The sequence below is a fragment of the Homo sapiens genome, chromosome 9 (genome assembly GCF_000001405.40).
Source record: "Homo sapiens chromosome 9, GRCh38.p14 Primary Assembly".
NCBI classification, from domain to species: domain Eukaryota; kingdom Metazoa; phylum Chordata; class Mammalia; order Primates; family Hominidae; genus Homo; species Homo sapiens.
Window position 1 is genome coordinate 6,926,281 of NC_000009.12, and position 22,856 is coordinate 6,949,136.

Consider the following 22,856-nt stretch of genomic DNA (forward strand, 5'->3'; position numbering starts at 1 on the left):
GTAATATAAGGCGTTTGTGAATAGAAACAAGTGGAGAAGCAGTTGTAGAGAGATAATTTGTAAAAAAAAAAAAAAGGACCAAAATAAAAATGAATGAAAGGGACACATGAGGTGAAAAGTGGAATCTTTGTTCTGTGAGAGCTGGTTTTCATTTTTTTGCTCTGAAAATATTTTGTGGCCATATTCAGTTTCTTTTTGCATAATTAAAATTATATGATTGGCTTATAGCAGCAAGCAGTTACAGAATAAAAATGATTATTTCCTCCTCAGTGAGAATCCGCTCTTTCTAGTCTTAACCTCAGACTCTTATTTCTGCCTCATTCTTCACTCTAGCACGAGTAAGGAAGGCCGGGTGCTAAGAACACATGGTGGGAAAACAAACAAATGCCTCCAGGCACTGCTTATCACAGCTATGGTTTAGAGAAACGGACATTCAGAAATCCAGCAACATTGGGGTGTGTTTAGTAGTTTACAGATTGTTAAAAGAAACTCTTGATGTTTTCATTGATCTGTGAGGCTCCATATTATGGGGACTTATGGCTTGTAGTTCAGCAGTGGAAATCTGGCAATTCTTGACTGCATTACTGTCCTTTAATTGTTGCTTATTTTCTTATTCATAAACATGTCGAAGCTATTGGTAGATGCAATTAAATGTATACATGTTCATTTATCTTAATTATTATTTATTAGATGGAGGGAAAATATATTGATTGGGTGACTATAGCTTTTTGGTAAAGCCAGCACAGATTTTAATCATTGTTAACAGAAGAAAATTAACCCCTTAGATTCTATCCTTTCAAAAAAAATTTTCTATCTATCTATCTATCTATCTATCTATCTATCTATCTATCTATCTATCTGTTTTTTGAGACAGAGTCTCTCTTTGTTGCCCTGGCTGTAGTGCAGTGGCATGGTCTTGGCTCACTGCAACCTCCTCTTCCCAGGCTCAAGTGATTCTTATGCCTCAGCCTCCTGAGTAGTTGGGATTACAGGCGCATGCCACCAAGCCTAGCTAATTTTTGTGTTTTTAGTAGAGATGGTGTTTTGCCGTGTTGGCCAGGCTAGTCTCGAACTTCGGGCCTCAAGTCATCCGCCTGCCTTGGCTTCCCAAAGTGCTGGGATTATAGGTGTGAGCTACTGCGCCCAGCCTCTTTTTTCTAACATTTATTCCATATAGTAACTGTAGCTTCTATATTTTATAATGCTTCTGATCATGTTGACCTGTGGTGATAATGGAATTGATAATAAGTGATGTTAATTAGAATATGAGATGTGTAGGACTTGCTCCCCAAAAGAAGACCCTTTCCTTTGAGGAGATCATCCCTCATCTACGTAGAGGCTTCCAGGGACCACACGAAACTGCTGGTCTCAGTTCTGCTCTTGGGAGAAATCACAATATGCCACTTTGTTTTTTCATCTACGTATCAACCCTCCACACAAGTGAACATGTCTCTCAGTTCCCACCCTGTTAGCCTTGTAAGAAGATTAAGTTCTTAGACTTTTAGCATTGTGTCTCACCAATTTCCTTGCCCCTTCCCACTTCCCATTCTTCTCAAGGCATTCTAATCACTATTTTGATCTGGCTGTTCCACTGAAACTGCTGTAATCATTGACCTATACATTTCCCAAAACAACCAACCAGTCTGTTCTCATTTCATTTGAACTTTTGGTATCATCCTACCACTTTGTCCTTCTTGAGAACATTCTTATCTTGGCTCCCACACCTTTACACTGTTGGAAAGAGTTGCTGTACTCACCATCTCTATTTTCTCACCACTTATTCCTTTTTTAGCCCACTCCAGTTGGGCTATCAAACAGCTTTTATCAAGGTCGTCTCTAGGCCAAAACCAGGAGTCAGTTCTTCATCCTCATGTTACTCAACCCCTCACCCTCTCCATCCTTGCAACACATTCTTCTCATAACACTATACTCACCTTGTTTTCTTCCAGCTTTCCAGCCGTTATTTCACAGCCTCCTTTACCAGGCCTTCCAGTGTTAGAGAGCCAAAGAGCTCTGTCCTGAACTCGCCCCTCTTTCTTTACCTTCTTTATGTGGTCGTTTGTCTTCCTTATACCAGAATGTAAGTCTCTTGCCAGCAGGCTTTAAGTCTGTCTTGTTTGTGCATGTATCTCTTGTCCAGAACAGGGCTGAGATATAGTAGGTGCTGCTTGCCTGGTTAGACCCTTTGTCATTCCCCTTATTACTCGGATCTGTGTATCCTACTTCCTCGTGGTTTCACCAAGATTGTAGAGGGTAGTTCTATTATCACTTCAAATGTTACGTCGGTATCCTGGACTATAGTATATCACCTATGTCCTCTTTTTTTTTTTTAATAATAATGGCATCACCTGTTTGTGGCGGATGAAAGCTGTGGTCTTTGCTTTGTTATTGTCGTGCCCGTTATTTTTTATCGCCTATGATTAGTCACTTTGCTTGCTGCATTCTTACCCACTCGTTTTTGTTCAAGCCTTCACTTTTTAACTACCTTGGAGGTTGATGGCTACCCCTTGGCTCTGTCTTCCTCTTTAGTGTCAGATTATTCTGCTAATGCAGAACTCTGAGGTTTCCCTATGGAAGTAGTGTGAGCAGGGAATCCCAGCTGCCGGCTGCATGTTTGGGACCCTCTACAGCTTATCTGTAGCCTGTTTTCTTGTTTATGGCCCCAGCACTACCCACACCCTTGTGCTTTAGTAAAACCAAGTTACCTTGCACCTCGTACCTGTGCTGCTTCATCTTCCTGCTTTCCTTATGCTGTTGCCAGGAATATCTTCTTTATCCAAACACTACACTTCAAGGCTATCCCAACTGCTTCCTCTTTTGTGAAGATTTATCTCCTCACCCTCAGCTAGAAGTAATCTCTCTCTACAGTGAAATTCTTAGTTATCTTTACCTTAATTTTAGGGCTTAGACCTTTCTTTCTTGTATTTGCTTATGTCTAATATCTGTTATAGGTCATTGAAGACACATGTTTAGCTATAGCCTTTTGTTCAATAAATCTTGAAGGAATGAAAGAGACTTGAAGTCATTTAAAGAAACTGAGTGCCCTTTTACTATTTACTCAACTATCCTGGGTGTCATTCCTCTTTTAATTGTGTTTATTCTTCCATTTCCAAATTAATATCAGCTAACATTTGAGAGTAATGCTTTACTTTTCACAAAGCAGTGTACACTTTATCCTGTTTGACTTTTTCTTTTTTTTTTTTTTTTTTTGGCAACAATTCAGTAAGGAAGGACAGTGTATGTAAATGATAAAATAAGGTAGAAATTGTGGTGCAGAGGCTGGTTGGTTAGGTAAGTGCTACTCTTCCCCAGTCACTGGTCTGTCCTAATGGGTAGACTCTTTTTAGCAGCCCAGTTTTATTGAGGAGGAAACTGAAACTCATGAATTGTCTGGTTGAGGTCACTCTGCTGGAGTCCCAGTCAGGATTGCAATCCGGGTGTATTTGACCCCAACTTCTTGGTATGTGCAAGCAGAAAGGATACTTTTGTGGGTGCCAAAATAGAATATTAAAAAGTTCATCTTCCCTGTTTTGAAAAAAGTTTGAAGGCTTCTTTCAAATGTTTTCTCTAGTTTTTGAGGATCAAAATAGACGATTTCTACAACCCTCTGCCAATTCTTTCTTTTATGGCTCATAAGAAGTCTCATTACTAAAATGTCATTAATTTTATTGATCCCTTAAGGATGTTACTCACTGTTGATGAGTCCTGAGGGTCTTTGGGATATTAGTCTCATTTTAACTCTTACTGGTGTAATTGGATGAATGTGATGCATTTGATTTAATTGGTTTTAGTTTGGCAGAGGAGAAAGACACACTCCTTGGTGCTATGCTAAGTGTCTCTATCGCCTAAGATTCCCTGCAGAAATTAAATTATTAGCAGTCAGCAGTTCTCAAGATCTACTAGAGGTCAGATTCAGCCACTGATGGGAACTACTCCAGGGTGGCCACAGGTAGGTTTTTTGGATATGTATGTTGAATTTTCACATTCTCAGAATAACGCTGCCCCATTCTGACACTATTTCACTGACTTGTCAACATGAGTTGTTTCTGTAAGTTTCTCTAGAATCTTTTTATAGAACTCCACTTATTTTGTAATGAGCACCTAATACAGTGAATATGTGGAAAATAAAGCACGCGTTGAATTTAGTGGCAGTTATTTAAAAATGTCTTTTGAAAAAATCTGCATACCTTATACATAATATACAAAATATATAACATATGTATCATAAATATGTACATATATAATATGAATATATGTGTTATATATAACAACAGTATGTTATATATGTTATCTATAACATGTTATATATTCATATGTATATAATAAAACATGTTATAATATATAACATATTCATATGTAATATGAATACATACTACATATAATAGTACAATTAATATATAATATATTAATTATTAACATATCATATGATTATACTATTATTATAATATAATAATTATATTATTATGTATCATATATATGATATTCATGTATCATTCTTTCATACCTTTTCAGCAATGAATGTTCTTTTGTTGTAAAAGAGTAACACCCCCTAATCTATTAGTTCCTTTCAATTTAGTGCACATGAGAAATACCTGGGGAATTTGCAAAAATGCAGGGGCTTGGTCCCACTCCTTTGCATCTGCAGTTTGCAGTAAGCACCTCAGAGAATTCTGATGTATGGGATCCTCTGAGTACATGCTGAAATATGCAACTGCATTCTTATGCTTCTTTGCCTGTGACTGATGTCTTCTTTTACCAGGATTCATCAGGAGAACCCTGGCATTTACACAGAGTTGCCTAACTTGTTGCCTCCATAGGCACTTGGAACCCTCTCTCTTCTCACCCCCCCCACACAAACACACTTTATGTCTTGAATTCCCTCAGTAACAAGGGCAGCATGCATTGCTGGATACTCCCCTTGTTTTTCTATCTGGAGCCCCCCAGTGTGAAACTACCATCGCCTGACTTATCAGCTAAAGGAGTGTATACTGAACAATATAATTTTAGTAATAAATAAATTGGTTAACAGTGATACACAATAAATAAACTTGCTAGAGTTAATTTTTTTTAGGTCACAGTAATTTGCTTATTACCTCTTCATTTAGATAACAAGGACATTTTATGTACTTAAAGAATGGCCATCAACTAAACACGCATGCATGAAAATTAGTCATTAGTTTTGTTGGGTCTGTGGATGTCAGTAAGCAATAGTCATATATATATATATTTTTTTTTCATAAGAAAGGGTCTTGTTCTTTCACCCAGGCTGGAGAACAGTGGTGCAATCTTGGCTCACTGTAGCCTCCATCACCCAAGCTCAATCAGTCCTTCCACCTCAGCCTCCTGAGTAGCTGGGACTACAGGCATGTGCCACCACACCCAGCTAATTTTTGTAGTTTTTGTAGAGTTGGGGTTTCACCATGTTGCCTAGGCTGGTCTTGAACTGCTGGACTCAAGTGATCCACCCGCCTTAGTCTCCCAAAGTGTTGGGATTACAGGCATGAGCCACCATCCTCAGCCAGCAATAGTCATATACATTTGGCAGTCTTATATGAGAAAAATATTTACTGTGGAGCTATATATAAAAACTATATCAACCTATTAGAGAATTGTAATTAATTGTCTAAAGGTAGCTGTCCAGTTGAAAAGATATCCTAAGCAATAATATGGTCAGTGCCCTGGCTGTGCCCTGCAGGGTAAAGAGAGGAGTGAGGACAGAAAAAGTGTCAGTGATTCATCAGAGAAGTGAGCTCATTTGGGCCGTGACTATTGTGAGTCACTTGTTATCTGCAGAGTACAAATGCTATGAGAGGCCTTGGTGTTTGGGGTGGGGCCAGAGGGAGATGATTAGAATGTCATCAGGCATGTACTTCATGAAAGAGAAAGTGGCATTTGGTGCTGGATTCCAACAGGTGTGTAGCTCCACATGAGCTGTGGTCATGTTCCCCTTCAGAACAGAGTGGAAGCCGGAGTGCAGAGGGAGGACTGTGTGTAGCATTCCAGTGACCAAGCCGACTCTCCTGTTTCTGCGGCACAGGGATTATTAGTTTCAATTAGGGTTTGGATCATATTCTTAGGGCCTTGAAATGGACTTTGAGGAAGAATCTGTAATCCATAAGCTTAGTAATGCCCCCTCCCACCTTGTTGTGGGCCCTTGAGAAAACTTTTGTTGAAAAACCATACATTTGGGTCATAGGGAGACTGAAGTTTAGAGAGATGCTACAGTGTATACAATTGAAGCAATCATAGCAGTAGCAGTAGCAGCAGCCACTATTCAAACCTTTTCTAATTTAGTCCTTACAGCTGTTATTTGGGGAAGGAGGAAACTGAGGCAAAGAGGTTAAGTGTCTCCCCCTGGTGCACAGCCAAAGCAGCAGAGCCAAACTGCAACCCGTGTGTGGCCATTTCTACTCCTTCATTGGTTCTGACCCCTGGGATGATTTTGTCTCATAAAGGACATTTGACCACGTTTAGGGGCATTTTTTTGATTGCATGATGGGGGAGGTGCCAATGGCATCAGCGGCCTCTGCCAAGGGTACTGCAAAACATCGTACAATACACAGGGCAGCCTCCACTACAAAGGATTATATGGCCCCAAAATATCAATCATGTAGAGATTGAGGAACTCTGCACTACTGCACTTTGTAACCATCTTTCATGCATTAAGTTTTCCTCTTTGGTGTAGAGCTAATTTAAGAAAAAGCTGTTTATCTTATTGCTGCTTTTTAGGTTGTACAAGCAAGTGTAGGGAGTTCATTTGTACTTCATCAGTGGTGAAATACCATCTCAAAGAATTTTAATTCCGTAAGAAGTATGTATTGCATGTATCAGATAATACTATATTTAAATGACACAAAATAGACTATAGCATAAATTGAATCAGCTTTTCTATTGGACATTCTGGAATTTTTCTATGGGAACAATAGGTATAGGATGTTAACTTTCAAAAGCCTTTAGTAGAATCTGACAGGTAATTACATCTTCAGGTTCTAAGCCCCTTGGTTTTTTAAATTCTGAAGGTGACATATTATGCCTAAGGGAAAGATAAATACCAGCATTACTTGCCTATCTGAGATAGATTTTAGCTATCTACTACATGCACTGCTTGGTGAGGGGGCATAACCATCAGTGGTTGAAATAAAACAGCATTAGGAAAGCAGTGGCTTGGACCACATTCAGGGTCAACTTTCCTTTTGGAAAATAGTGATTCTGATGATGAACAGTATTCTTCCCCTGGGAATCTGGCTCTGCAAAATTACTTTCAGGCTGAATTTGACATACAATTTAAAAAAGAATGCTGTGTAATAATTAACTTTAAAAGGACAAATAAAAGCCATTCCAGTAAAGTTTAACTTGTTGGTAATTTGATAAGTATTTACTTATGTATAGTTCTAATACACATGTAAGACAGTGTGTAAATCACAAATGGAGTAAGTATTTTAGTTAAGAACATGGAGGTTTGGCAATGAAAGATACTGTGAGGGCAAAGATTTTGGTATGGCTGTTTTTAGAGTAAATGGTTTTTTTTGAATTGCATTTTTTTCCAGGTCTTCCTGATTTTTTATTTTTATTTATTTATTTTTTTTTGAGATGGAGTCTCACTTTGTCACCCAGGCTGAAGTGCAGCGGTGTGATCTTGGCTCATGACAATCTCCACCTGCTGGGTTCAAGTGATTCTCCTGCCATAGCCTCCTGTGTAGCTGGAATTATAGGTGTGCCCCACCAAGCCTGGCTAATTTTTGTACTTTTTGTAGAGATGGGGTTTCACCATGTTGGCCAGGCTGGTCTTCTTGAACTCCTGATCTCAAGTGATCCGCCTGCCTCAGCCTCCCAAAGTGCTGGGATTACAGGTGTGAGCCATTGCGCCTGGCCCAGGTCTTCCTGATTGTAAAAAAAATCACTGTAAAAATTAAAGTTGGGGCTGGGCGCGGGGTCTCACGCCGGTAATCCTATCACTTTGGGAGGCGGAGGCAGGCTGATCATGAAGTCAGGAGATTGAGACTATCCTGGCTAACATGGTGAAAACCTGTCTCCACTAAAAAATAAAAAAATTAGCCGTTTGTGCTGGCGGTCCCTGTAGTCCCAGCTACTTGGGAGGCTGAGGCAGGAGAATGGCGTGAACCCGGGAGGCGGAGCTTGCGGTGAGCTGAGATCATGCCACCGCACTCGAGACTGGGTGACAGAGCAAGACCCCGCCAAAAAAAAAAAAAATTGGATAATTTTATCTAAAATTAAATACCAACTTATATCCTCTCTCTTTTTTTTTGAGATGGAGTCTCGCTCTGTCACCAGGCTGCCTCAGCCTCCTGAGTAGCTAGGACTACAGGCACGCGCCACCATGCCTAGCTAATTTTTGTATTTTTAGTAGAGATGGGGTTTCACCATGTTGGCCAGGATGGTCTCAATCTCTTGACCTCGTGATCCGCCCACCTCGGCCTCCCAAAGTGCTGAGATTGCAGGCGTGAGCCACTGCGCCCGGCCCACTCTAATTTTCATTGAGAACTTTAATTGGATATGAACTGATCCTTCTTTTTCCAAAAAAATAAGATTTTATTACCAAGATGAGGCAAAGTTGTTAATATTCAGGATTAAAAAATAATATTTCTTTTTTTTTTTAAATTAGGTATACCAGATTTCTTTATTCTCAACCATGTGTGCACATACACTCAGATTTTTTTCTTTCAGTAGTGATTTGGCTTTTTGTTAATAACAATGACACAAGTTTTATGTATAATTTAAATATTACAACGGCTAAACTGGTTTTGGGGAAAATTTTCCAGAAATTTATTAAATACGAAGTTCCTTAACTACTGACTTAGAAGAATGAGTATTGTTTAACCAGGGAAAAAGTTGTCAACCACCACCAGCTTTTCTTCCTACTGTTTTTTAGAATATAAAAGATAATATCTCAATTATTTTTTCCTCTCTCATCATTACTTACAAAAATCTCAATAATTTAGGCATATCCTTGGCATGTTCGTAAAATTGTTCCATTAGGCATTCTATAATTATAATCATATTATTTTTAATCCCTACTCATCTCACCTGTAATTTTCAAATGTTTGATTTTTATTCAATTTTTATATCCTGTTCACATATTTTTTAGCTACAGTAAAACATGATTTTTCATGTGTATTTTTTTTTCTTTTTTTTTGAGATGGAGTCTTGCTCTGTTGCCCAGGCTGGAGTGCAGTGGCATGATCTCAGTTCACTGCAATCTCCCATCTCCCAAGTTCAAGAGATTCTCCTGCCTTGGCCTCCCAAGTAGCTGGGATTACAGGTGCGCGCCACCACGCCCGGCTAATTTTTTTTTTTTTTGAGATGGATATTGTGCCTATATTTCTCCTTTCTAATTTCTCATTGTAATATTTCATAACCAATGTCTTTTCTTAACAGAATCATCCAAAACTTCGTTTTTATTAGGAAGTATGATACTTCAAAATAGAGATTACAAAAAGAGCCATGAGTATGTTGCTTTAATGTATGTCTTTGTAGTTTGTGTTATGTGTTGTTATTGAACAGCATTAAGTTTTTGCGGGGAATTTTTCTTGATAGAAAATAAAAGTCCTGATTTTTGTCAACAAGAAACTTATATTCCAGATTTAGGGCTTGAATTTTTTGAAGACATGAAAAGTAGATGAAAGAATAATAAACAGTAAGAGTTTTAAAATGTCATCTTCTTGTTTAGTAAAAGCTATTGAATTACATTGTCAGAAAAGTGTACTTATGTTTAATATTTCACATATTTTGCTTTGAATTTTTACAAACAATTTTTTGTAACTTATTTGGCTTTCAAATGGAAACTAGAATTATGTAGTGCCAGAAGGTAGCTTGAATATATGGAGTTTATTCAAATCCTAGAGAGAAGGGAAAAAATTCCATAAACAAACAATATAAAAAAAGATATCTTGTGATTTCAGGATATCCAGCTGTTTGTATGTTTCGTTTTTAAACTTCACTGCTTACTAAATGAGTGATTTTACATATGTTAGAAAGATACTACCCCATGCAGAACTGCATGTCTATTTTTAAAAATTATATATGCTAAAATCATGGAGATTTGTGGGCATGGGTATACATGTATACAAACAGTATTACTTTACATATATTTGATTTGCTAAAAAAAGAATGCATATATACATTTATAGGTAACAAAAACATTATTGCCATTGAATATTTCATTTTTTCACTTTTTAATATAGTGAAGTCTTAGTCACTTTTGATGGTCCAGTAAATTAGGTAATACTATTTTAAGATAAAGTGAAAATTTCCCATGAGAAATCACTCAGCCCATTTTCAGTTTTGCTTTTCCTGGTTTAGGTTGAACGCCATATCATTCTGATGAATGAGAATGAGCCTTCCCATGGCTATTCTGTTCTCTGGAAGCCAGTTTGTAGAAAGGTTCCTGTGAAAACAATATTTTGGGAGGTACATAGTGTAGTAGGTTAAGAGCACAGGCTTTTGAGTAATAGGGACCTGTTGGTAACTCCCATTTTTGCTTCCTAATAACTATGTGCCCTTAGCTAAGTAACTTATCTCCTCTGTGCTTTAGTTTCCTTAGCTAAGGTAATAAGACCTCCCCTACAGAGCTAGAGGAAGGGGAATGAAAAGATTTTAGCACAGTGCCTAGAACTTAGCATTGAGAAAATATTCATTAAATGTGTTCTTTTATTGACTTGGTTTTAGTTACAGATTCTAGACCCATATCCCTGTAGTTACATATAATATTTTGGCCATTTTATTGTGTAGATTTTATGTACATTCTTGCCACTTTTATCAGAGAAATGACAAGAAAGGAAACAAGTAAGTTATTGTAGTCAATCAGAAAGACTAAAACAATTTATAGATGATAATTAAAATTTTAATATTTATTTTTAACATAAGAACCTCCCGAAGTGCTAGGATTACAGGTGTGAGCCGCCTCACCCAGCGAGTAATTAAAAATTTACTCTCCTTGTTCGTTTTTCTTGCAGAATTGTCATTCACATTTAAAGTTTGAAATTCTGAAGACAGAAAAAGCAAATTAAAATTTAAAAATAGCCAGTGGTGAAAGGTAAATAGTTCATTGGTGCATGGCAGAGCCTTCTGCTTGTTATATATAGTAGGGTACTTCTAAGGAAGGTGTTTCTCTTGCAGAGTTACTTGTTGCAGTTAGGTTTTGTTTTGGGCATAATGCCAAGTATTTATTCTTCCTATGTGTAATATAGTAGGGTATTTTTGTGTTTAAACAACAGTTTTTATTGTAATCTTACATCTTATTGGATATTAACCTCTTTGATAGCAAACAAGCCATTCTTACCTGTTGTGCACATGCTGCTCTAGCAGGCTGGGAGTCTTCACCACAACACTAGCTACATAATAGAACATTGCTTCCTGAGGTCTGGGAACACTGTTTTTTTCTTCTCTCCTGTGGAATAAATGCTTTATATTTAATTTAATTTAATTTTTTCAGACAGAGTCTTGCTCTGTCGCCGAGGCTGGAGTGCAGTGGCATGATCTTGGCTCATTGCAACCTCTGCCTCCCGGGTTCAAGCAATTTTCCTGCCCCAGCCTCCTGAGTAGCTGGGACTACATGAGTGCGCCACTGTGGCCAGCTAATTTTTGAATTTTTGGTAGCGATGGGGATTCACCATGTTGGCCAGGCTGGTCTCGAACTCCTGACCTCAGGTGATCTGCCCTCCTTGGCCTCCCAAAGTGCTGGGATTACAGACATGAGCCACCGTGGCCGGCCAGAATAAATGTTTAAAATTAATCATTTTGTCAGTTACTTTCAATATTTTACAAATTGCTAACATATATCACATAAATGGGACAGAATAATTTAGTACTAATTAGATTTGCAAGGTATGCTCCAGATCACCTGCACTGCCCTCCTCCAGCCAATGTTTGCATGTTTGTGTGAATGAATGTGTATATAATATTTAATATATAGATATATATTATAGGATGAACATAAAACATATTTATATGTTATGTGCAATATGTATTTGTTAAATATATTTGTGTACACTTATTCCCATGGTATAAGCCCCATTTCCAGGGGATGGCTCATGATGACCCAGAGAGTGCAGCTCAGTTCTAAACTTTTTTAGGAGGATGAAAAGAAATAGTCTTTTGTTCTCCTCTACAGGAAGCTAATATTTTGCTCCTACTGTCCAAACTCTGGAATAGTAGTATAACAGTGGCAAAGAATGGGAAAATGAAAACCGACCGTATGAAGCTGTTTTTGGAAGATACTCTAAATGGGAACAATCTTCTAAGCTCAGCTGGCTTTTTAGTCGGTGAAGCCATCTGTTTGGTTTTTCAGCCAGCACTCTTTTCATTCTCCCTGATTTTTATAGCTTCCCTTGGGAAACCACAAGATTCCAAATCACTCCAGCAATGCAGAGCCTTTTGAAGAGTTGTGTGTGGCTTAGTGGTTTGTCAGTCTTCTGTTGTGTAACTTCAAATGGTTTTTACTTCTGCTATGCAAATCATGGTTTTAGGAATATTTGGAAAGAGAAGAGTCTGAGGAGAGTAGAAAGATGGTAATTTTTTTCTTATATAAATATTTATTTTTCAGATACACTAATAATAAAATATTATTGTTCTTTCATAGAGGTTAACTTACTCATGTTTCATTTATGAGGAATGCATAGACCTGTTACTCAAAGCAACATTGTATTATATTTGTTGTTCTGTCTGTAGTTTCTAACATTATTAGACAAAGTTCAGTGATGTTAAAGATTGTAAACATTCCTTAAAGCAGGGGTCCCCAACCCCTGAGCCACAGATCTCCTGCTGTGTGGCCCAGTTCCTAACAGGCCACAGACTGCTTGTGGTTAGGTTCCAGTGGCCTGTTAGGAACTGGGCTGCACCATAGGAGGTGAGCTAGCAAGGGCAGCAGGTACAGCTGCTCCCCATCGCTGGCATTACTGCCTGAGCTCCACCTCCTGTCAGATCAGCGGTGGTATTAGATTCTCATAGAGTGTGAACCCTGTTGTGAACTGCACATGGGAGGGATCTAGGTTGCATGCTCCTCATGAGAATCTAATGCCTGATGATCTGTCACTGTCTCCCATCCCCCCGTGAGGGCATGGCCTAGTTGCAGGAAAACAAGCTCAGGGCCGCCACTGATTCTACATTATGGTGAGTTGTGTGATTATTTCATTATATATTACAGTGTAATAATAATAGAAATAAAGTCCACAATAAATGTAACATGCTTAAATCATCCCCAAACCACCCCACACCAGATTTGTCAGTCCCTGGTGCCAGAAAGAATGGGGACCACTGCCTTAAAGCATGCTGGGATTATGATTGGATGTAGAGTTGGGTGTTGATGTTAAAGGTACTTATACTTTGTTACAGTGGTTATGGTTACTTAGAGCTATCACATAGTTACTTTAGAATGGATATTTTAAAATTGAAGAATAGGCAGCAGTCTGTTTCTAATTAATGATAGGGTTCCTTGTTTTAAAAGTTAAACACTTTGGTAAGGATACATTTGAAGATTATCACGTGGGTGGTCAGCAAGTGATTCCGTCCCTCTCTTGGCATTTATATATGTTATTTATATTGAATTACTCTTGGCAGAGGAAATAACTGAAAGTCTAAGTAAAAAACGTTGGCTTTATCCTGTGGGTAGAAACCACTTTTTATTTTTACTTTTACCCCATGTGCTTTAAATCCAATAACCAACCTACCTACCTACCTACCTTCCTTCCTTCCTTCCTTCCTTCCTTCCTTCCTTCCTTCCTTCCTTCCTTCCTTCTTTCCTTCCTTCCCTCCTTCCCTCCTTCCCTCCTTCTCTCTCTCTCTTTCTTTCCTTCTTTTCTTTCTTTCTTCTTTCAACAGGGTCCCACTCTGTCACCCAGGCTGGAGTGCAGTGGTGCAGTATTGGCTATTGCAACCTCTACTTCCCAGGCTCAAGTGATCCTCCTGCCTCAGCCTCCCTGGTGGCTGGGACTACAGGCATGTGCCATCATGACCAGCTAATTTTTGTATTTTTTGTAGAGAGGGAGTTTTGCCATGTTGCCCAGGCTGGTCTTGATTACAGGTGTGAGCCACTGTGCCTAGCTGAGACAATCATTCCTGACTTTCATGTTATTAGAGCTTCAAAATGTGAACAATTATTGCCCGCTGTTGTCACTACCTTGGAGAACAAGATGAGTATAGCTTTTAAAATCTTTGCGGGAATTGTGTCAACTTTCATTTAATCCACCTCTATAAAAATAAGATCTATATGCTAAAGGATTAATAACAGTGCAAATTGCTACTTGAATATTAAAAATTTAAAATCATCCACAAGGCAGAGATATTCTTGAAAGTCATTACAGCTCTAAGATGTCATAATTTTATTGAAAGTGGGAAAAAAAACGTAGCCACCATTTAAATATGTAAGTTGTCATTTTTGTTACATTTCACTAGCATTGTATTTGAACCGAATATTCATTTTTTACAGCACGTAAGTATCCATATATCATAAGACATGTAACTACCATATTCCTTTCCCAGAACTTTATTTCATTATCATTTTCATTTAATTTAGGATAATGTACCCTTGATTCTAAAATATATGCTCTCTGATAAAGTCTAATATACAGCATCTATAAGAAACTTAAATTTACAAGAAAAAAACGTATCATTCTTTTTGGCTGCTCTACATTGGGTGAGCTTTGTGTAATATTTGTTCTTTACTTAATAATGCAACCTCAAAATATTCACCCTGTTTAGACTGATTCCCTCATGCTTGAGAGAGGAAGGCATCTCTTCCTTTTTTTTTTTTTTGGAGAAAGTCTTGCCGTGTCATCCAGGTTGGAGTGCAGTGGCACAATCTCAGCTCACTGCAACCTCTGCCTCTTGGGTTCAAGCGATTCTTGTGCCTCAGCCTCCCAAGCCACCATGCCCAGCTAATTTTTGTATTTGTGGCAGAGATAGGGTTTCACCACATTGGCTGGGCTGGTCTCAAACTCCTGACCTCAAGTGATCTGCCGGCCTCAGCCTCCCAGAGTTCTGGGATTACGGGTGTTGGGCTTTTTTTCATATGTTTATTCACTGCATGTATGTCTTTTGGAAAATGTCTGTTTACATTTGCCCACTTTTAATGGGGTTGTTCTTTTCTTGTAAATTTGTTTCTTATAGATGCTGTATATTAGACTTTATCAGAGAGCATATATTTTAGAATCAAGTGTGCATTATCCTAAATTAAATGAAAACAAATTATCAGAACATATGATAGAATAATGAAGCATAACAACTAAAAAAAACCATATTACATTTCAGGGCCAATGATCTAATTTTGCTTTTCCTCTGACTGTTACCAGGAGGGCAGGGCATGCATGCAGCCATGTGAACTGAGAGTGAGAGGGAAATGGATGAGATGCTTAATGTCAGATCTATGCCACTGCCCTCATGCTTGACGTTGTGGCAGCCAAGCCAGAGATGGCCATGCGCTCCTTACCACGGTCATTCTCAGCTGAATCTACATCACATTCACCCGGAAGCCTGGGAGTAATCTGTACCTAGGAGTCTGTAGGGCATGACCAGCCTGCAGATGTGAGCAAGTGTGTGTGTATGTTTCTGTGTCTGTGTCTCTCTCTCTCTTGTGTGTGTGTATATGTGTCTGTGTTTGTATCCTGTGGTGCCTCACAGTGTCTTAGAAATATTTGAATTACATTAATTGCCAGTGTTTGAGTATCACAAGATTTCACATAACCATATGGATTTACATGTTGTCTTGAAAACTTCAGATGATTTGAAACTCTTTTAAAAAGGGCTCTTTTAAAAAGGGTTCCAATATAAATTGGTAGAGCAGTTATTGGTAGAGCGTATACTTTCATCTTTGTTATAATGGGTTTGACCGCATTGTGTTTGGGTGAAGTAGCAGAGCAATAACTTTAAGATAAAACTGGTTTCTTGTAATTTATTAAACTTACCCATGTATTTGGCTCCCTTTTCCCTTTTATTTTATTATGTCTGTTTTAGCCTTATCTATTTCTTTCTCATGTTCTAGCCCTCAAAGTGTGTGTGTGTGTGTGTGTGTGTGTGTGTGTGTGTGTGTTTAATCCTCCAAGCTAGAAGTCACTCAAGCTTCCTGGAATCTAGGTTGTAAGGTACTGAGGCCAATGGCTGCCTCTTTGTCTTTTTTCTATTTTTTCTATTTTTTTTTTTTTAATTTTGTGTTTTGTTTCTTTCCAGTACTGTGTTGACGAGGAAGATGGCAGCCTCTTTGATATGAGATAGGGCTCATCTGCATGTTACGTGTAGTGGCATGTCACTGCTGCCACTGCTCTTCTGCTACCAGGATGGCTTGAATGCAATATAGGCTGTTCCATGTGTGCTTTCCCTCCGTTATGAAACTTCTTCCTGTGGGGTTTGTGAGCTAACTGCAAGTCTTTCTTTGTTTTAGGGCTGTGGATTCTGTAATTATTACAATTGTGTACTTCCTTAAATTAAGGCTTTCACGTAGTAGTGATCTGCCTTTCCTTTGACAGTTTTACCTTGATGTTTTATATAATGAAGCAAAACTCAAGGAATATAGAAGGAAGCATAGGGGGAGTAAAGGATAGTCTTAAATGCTGAGCAGTGGTTACCTCTGTGATCAAATTTATTATTATTATTTTTTGAGACGGCTTTACTCTGTCACCTCGGCTGAGTGCAGTGGCATGATCACGGCCCCTTGTAGCCCCAACCTCCTGGTTTCAAATGACCCTCCCACCTTAGCCTCCTGAGTAGCTACGACTACAGCCATGTGCCACCTTGCCCGCATAATTTTTTTTAAGTTTTTTGTAGAGACGAGGTCTTGCCATGGTTCCCTGGCTGTCTGGAACTCCTGGAGTCAAGCAATCCTCCTGCCTCAGCCTCCCAAAGTTTTGGGATTGTAAAGGATTTGTGAGGTACTGAGCCTGGCCTCTGATTGAATTTTAACTGATTTTTATTCTTTTTTTTCTTACCTCTGTTATTCAAGTTGGAAACAATTGAATGTGATTTCCTGTTAACTACAAAAATATTTATAGTCATTTTTAGAGCATAGATGTTAAGTAGTTAATTTATTTTCTGTAAAGATTTGTAAGTCTTTTGAAGTCATTATCATTTGAGGAAAATTATTTTACAAACTTCGCATTTCTCTTTGGATAAAACACCACTTTAAAATTGCACAAATAAGGGCCAGGTGTAGTGGCTCTTGCCTGTAATCCTGGCACTTCAGGACGCCTAGTGGGGAGGATCGCCTGAGCCCAGGAGTTCTAGATCAGCCTGGGTAACGTTAGCTGAGCATGGTGGCGTGTGCCTCTGGTCCTGGCTACTTGGGAGGCTGAGGTGGGAAGATTGCTTGAGCCCAGGAGGTCAAAACTGCAGTGAGCCATAATTGCCCCACTGCACTCCAGTCTGGGCGACATAGGGAAATCTTGTCTCAAAAAAAAAAAAAAAGGTTGCACAAATAATTATCTGCCCCAGTGGAAACACTTTAGTCTGCTGCTATAGAATACTTTACTGCATTGTGTAGAAGTGGGAATGGAAGGCCTTCTGTGTCAGAACAACTGAAATGTTTGTCAAGAATGCAGATTTCTGGGCCTCACTTGAATAATCATTAAGCCAGAATCTTTTTTTACAGGGTCCCCAGATGTTTCTCATGCTTGCTAAATTCTGAGATTCACTTTGCTATGCCTTGCTGCCAGGAGATCAGTGTCAAACTCCAGACAGACTTTTACCTGGATCCTTGCTAATTTTCAGTCATGTCGGGCCTATTTAAATGTAAAAATGTCATAATGTATTCCTTCTGGTTAGCTTAAATTTATATATCTTAAATGGGTTACATTAGCTTCATAATTTAAAAGATAGATTTTGTCGAATTATGTGTTGGGTTAGGAAATCCTCTTAAATGAAATTAAATTATCTGCAAGCAGAGGGTGCTGTTGAATTGGCATCTGAATTTATTATCTTTATTGATTGAACATCCTTGCATTTGAACTTATGCCAGATTCAGAAGGCCTAGGCAGTGCAGGAAGTGCTTAATATTACAGTGGTAGTTTATCCTTTAATTGTCTGGAAGCTGGGGTGTTAAACTCTGTTCTCCAAATTGCTTTTCATTTGCAGGATTTCATGCACATCAGTTCTGGAATGGCACTTCCTTTTAATAGTTTGAGTACATTGTTCAAAAGAGCTGCAGCATGTCTTTTGGTGACTCATTAGATTTTGGCTCACATCTTTTTGCTTTCATCACCTAAATTAGGGTATGATCAAATACATGAAAACTGCTGTGTATTTTGGCACTCATTTTCATTGTGAAAGTTAAATATATAGGTTACTTAGGGATAAAAATTTAACTTGAATATTCTTTCTGTAAATGTCCTCTAAAATCCACCAGCAACACACTTTTTGTCAAGGTAGAGGTTTTTTTTTTTTTTTTTTTTTTGCCTCTGTGCAACAGGGGAAACAGCACAGCATAGGGAACCATTGATCTTAGGAAGAGCTTGTTAGTAGATTTCGGCTTGCTTAGGTATTGTTAGGGGAAGGGTTCAAAGAAGAGTGGTTTTGGTTTGGATTGGATGCTGGCAGAATGTGGGGGCAATTGTATGATCTGGTATCTTCATTTTAGCTATACAACAAGGGGACTGGAGCAAGCTAAAAGTGTAATTAGCAAAAACATGGGAGTTACTCAAATTAGCTGGAACTAGAGGTGTTGGGTTATTCCTGTGGTTTGTATAGTGTTCTTATTTTTGCATGTGTTTCAATGATTATGCAGTGATCTTGTTTTTGTCTTGCTCTACATTGTGATCATCCAGGGACCTTATGTGATCTCCTTCTCACTCTCTTTCTTGCTCTACACAGCCACAGACATACCTTCCACCTCTTACTCACTGCACGAACCCGTGGACCCGCACACATACTCACGAAAATGCTCACATGCTCATAAAAATGCTTACACACAAGGAAGCTTGTTTTCTCTCTCATTTTTTCCTTGTTAGTCAATTGATCTTAGGTAAACAATAATATAACATGAATATAATTTATCTTTTTTCTGTTACCACCAGTTTCATCCTTCCTTTGAAACAATTAACTAAACCAATTTTACCTGTCACCCTGGTTGTGAAAATGTATATATAAATATTATTTTGGGTAGCATAAATTCAGAGCAATTTGTGGATTATAAAGCATTTAGTAGTAGCATTGATGTATTTTTTGTTGATATTTATTTGCCTAAATGTTTGTATCTTGAACTCATGATTAGGGAGAAAGTGTTGTAAGCTTAAATTAATTAATTTTGACAAAATCATCTTTTAAGTAGGATCTACTTGAGAAAATTAAAGATGGGGCTACTAAATTTATAATCTGAGAATTTATCAAAATAGATGGAATTTACTACTTAGAGATAATATTTGTGTGAATTTAACTATATTTTAGATTTTAAATATCATTTAAAACCAGGATTTTACTACATATAGACAATAGTAACTGATTGAGCTTGGCTTTTAATCTAAGGTACTTATTAATATTTTTCAAGATAGTGGAAATAATCTTAACATGTTAAGGTCTTGAATCTTATGCAAAATGTGTTTTTAATGTTTGCTTAAACTTTTCCTGGTCATGGAAGGGACTGGGCTGTCTGTACTTAATTCCATAGAAATCAGAAGCAGCACAGTTGGAACTCACAGATTTTATGATATTTTATTTGGTCCAGATGTCTTTTCTATTGGTATTTTATGGCAAAATTTATACCATTCAAATGAGAATTCAGTTGTGGTAAATGAATGTAAATTTGCATGAATTCCTTGGTATGAAAAATTGAATGAGTTATGTCCAGTCACTTCATTTGTCATTAGATGAGAATGATCCTATGGTATTGCTTGTGTAATCAAGGGGGTTAGTGGATCATATGGATTGGAGATGAAGTAGTTGCAATTGATACTATACATGGAGAGATTTTGACAATCTATATTTAAAGAAATTATGCTTACTGCATTTTCTGACTTCGAAAGTAAGATATGTAAAGTGGGGTTCTGCTAATATATCAATACCATATTTTAATTTTATTTTTTATTAATTATATAGAGATGTACCTGACACACCTCCGTGACATTTTTCTTTACTTTTTGTTCCTACCTATTATTGATCTCCTCTTCACATCGCAGTAATTTTGTAATATTTCTGAAGAGAATATGGCAAGGTGATTCAGTTTTTGATTTATTTAACATATTTTTGGAGAGCATTACTTATAGTTTTAAAACATTTCTTTTATTGTCACAACTTGGTATTTGTATGCCATGCAGATTTTTAGGATTGTTATCCACATTTAGGGTAAATCTCTACCAAGTTTCTGTGATATGTGAGTTGTAATATTTTGAGACTTTTCAAGGTGTTTGTTTATGTGCGTGTGTTTATGTTGTCTGTGTGCATACACAGTGAATAATATTTGAATATATTGAATATACTCTGAGTTTATAATCAGTATGTCACTCATGTTCTTTCTATAGTTCATTATGAATTTTCTTTTACATTTTTTAATGCCATTTTATGTTCAATCAGCAGAAAACTTGTCTTTTTCACTCTTTAATTGAATTATTAAATAATTCTAAAACATTATTTTTTGTTTCCTTTTTTCTTTTGTTTTTGCCTTTTTATTATTTATAAATTAAAATTTATCTCTAAACTCAAAATAAATGCATCTCACTTCATTTGCTTCTTGGCCAGATCCCAAATATTCCAGCAGCTCCTCTGATCCCAACTGGTCTAAGTCATAGTGAAGGGAAGGATTATTATGGAAGAGGTCAGGGGGTGTTTAACAGAATCAAATGAAAATGTCGTACTTTTGTAAATTAACAAAAACAAATATAGCCATGTGAATACATTTCTAGGTCCTTCCCAGTGTAATCTCTGGGAGGTGTTTACATTCACTTGCGCCAAATTTCTCTGAAGAATGTCACCTTAGAGTTTCTACAACCGTACTTCTGTTCTGATTTTTTGTACTCTAAATAGCTCTAGATGTGAAAGCTATTTTTTTCTAATTTTATTGGTAAAGAATGGAAATTTTTCAATACATTTATTTACATGAGAAACTGAACATTTCTCATCTTTAGTAGTCATTTTATGTTTTTAAAATTCTTTCCTTTTTGTCCTTTATATTTCATTTTCCTGTTAGCATTAATGCTTTCTTAATGCCTATAAGAAGAGCTGTTTGTTTAGATAAGGTTAATCATAACTACCAGTCTTCTTTCTTATTGTCTTTATTCAGCATTTTGTTTTATGCTCAGAAAGGCTTTGTATATTACAATGTTATAGTCATGGTCATTTAGATTTTTAAAAATTTTATAATTTTTTTGTAAACCCATCTAGTATTGTTTTCATTGTATGGTATGAGGCCGAGACCAACTTAGTTTTCCTCTAGGTCCTTGAATTTCAAATTGTTTACTTGAAATTGTTTCAAATAACCTGAATCCAGTTTATCCCTAATCTATTTGTCATTTTCTAATATGGCTGTGCTTTAGAATCATCTAGGGAGTTTTTAATCAGTATTGGGGCCCATCCTGGTGTAAGTCAGAATCTTGGGTGTGTGGCTTGTTCCTTGATATTTTTTTTTTACCAGCTTGTTAGGAGATTATAATGTGTATGAAAACTGAGAACCATTGCTGTACACTTTTATAACCATTTGCATTTTTGTCTGGGTTTTCATTTCTTTTTTATTGGTTTGTCAGTCTCGTATATGTCCCTTATTCAAAACAGATATACTTCTCCTTATTCTTCTAAGTGTAATTTGATTTCCTGTTTTTTTCTAGGTGAGATGCTGCAGTGTGTGTCACTTTATTCACTTGAATCAGAATTCAGCTTTGTATATTGAATCCCAATTTTTATGGTTACATCTGAAGAGATAATCACCTATTTGATATTAACTGTAGAATCAGTCTTTGAAATTTATAATCTGAAGCATTACTAACTGCATTAAAGAACATTAACTGTTTTGTGACTTACACAGTTATTTCTTATTAATATGAATAAATTTGCAAAACTACTTGAATCATCCTGCCATTCCTTTGGTGGCATTTGTTAGTTTCAAATAACTCTTAAGCAGAAATGCAGTACCTTTTCTTATAGTAGATATTTATCTGAACAGTAGGATTTCGTTCTAAATATACGTACTTATAAAAGTGACCTTGTAGAAAGGCAAATAGTATTGACATGGTGATGATATGACACTTTCCTCATTTTTTTTTTTTTTTTAGTGTGCTGTTTGCATTTTTTTTTTTTTAATTGATCATTCTTGGGTGTTTCTCGCAGAGGGGGATTTGGCAGGGTCATAGGACAATAGTGGAGGGAAGGTCAGTAGATAAACAAGTGAACAAAGGTCTCTGGTTTTCCTATGCAGAGGACCCTGCGGCCTTCCGCAGTGTTTGTGTCCCTGGGTACTTGAGATTAGGGAGTGGTGATGACTCTTAACGAGCATGCTGCCTTCAAGCATCTTTTTAACAAAGCACATCTTGCACCGCCCTTAATCCATTTAACCCTGAGTGGACACAGCACATGTTTCAGAGAGCACCGGGTTGGGGGTAAGGTCATAGATCAACAGGATCCCAAGGCAGAAGAATTTTTCTTAGTACAGAACAAAATGGAGTCTCCTATGTCTACTTCTTTCTACACAGATGCAGCAACAATCTGATTTCTCTATCTTTTCCCCACATTTCCCCCTTCTCTATTCGACGAAACCGCCATCGTCATCATGGCCCGTTCTCATTGAGCTGTTGGGTACACCTCCCAGACGGGGTGGCGGCCGGGCAGAGGGGCTCCTCACTTCCCAGAAGGGGCGGCTGGGCAGAGGCGCCCCCCATCTCCCGGACGGGGCGGCTGGCCGGGTGGAGACGCTCCTCACTTCCCAGACGGGGCGG

At 37.7% G+C, this 22,856-nt stretch overlaps 1 protein-coding gene across 21 annotated transcripts in view, besides 2 other annotated features; it reads left to right on the plus strand.

The window, feature by feature from the left end:
• The window catches only part of KDM4C (lysine demethylase 4C), a 454,786-nt gene that overhangs the window by 205,418 nt on the left and 226,512 nt on the right, over positions 1-22,856 (plus strand). The gene's annotated exons all lie outside the window — the stretch shown is intronic.
• Positions 5,712-5,761: a silencer, noted in NCBI's record as "silent region_19772". NCBI's record gives its function as "represses an Ori minimal core promoter by ATAC-STARR-seq in GM12878 lymphoblastoid cells {active_cell/tissue: GM12878}" and the evidence as "EXISTENCE:reporter gene assay evidence [ECO:0000049][PMID:35858748]".
• Positions 13,785-14,285: an enhancer, noted in NCBI's record as "H3K27ac hESC enhancer chr9:6940065-6940565 (GRCh37/hg19 assembly coordinates)". NCBI's record gives its function as "activates a minimal SCP1, AML or CMV promoter by ChIP-STARR-seq in primed H9 embryonic stem cells {active_cell/tissue: H9 hESC(primed)}" and the evidence as "EXISTENCE:reporter gene assay evidence [ECO:0000049][PMID:30033119]".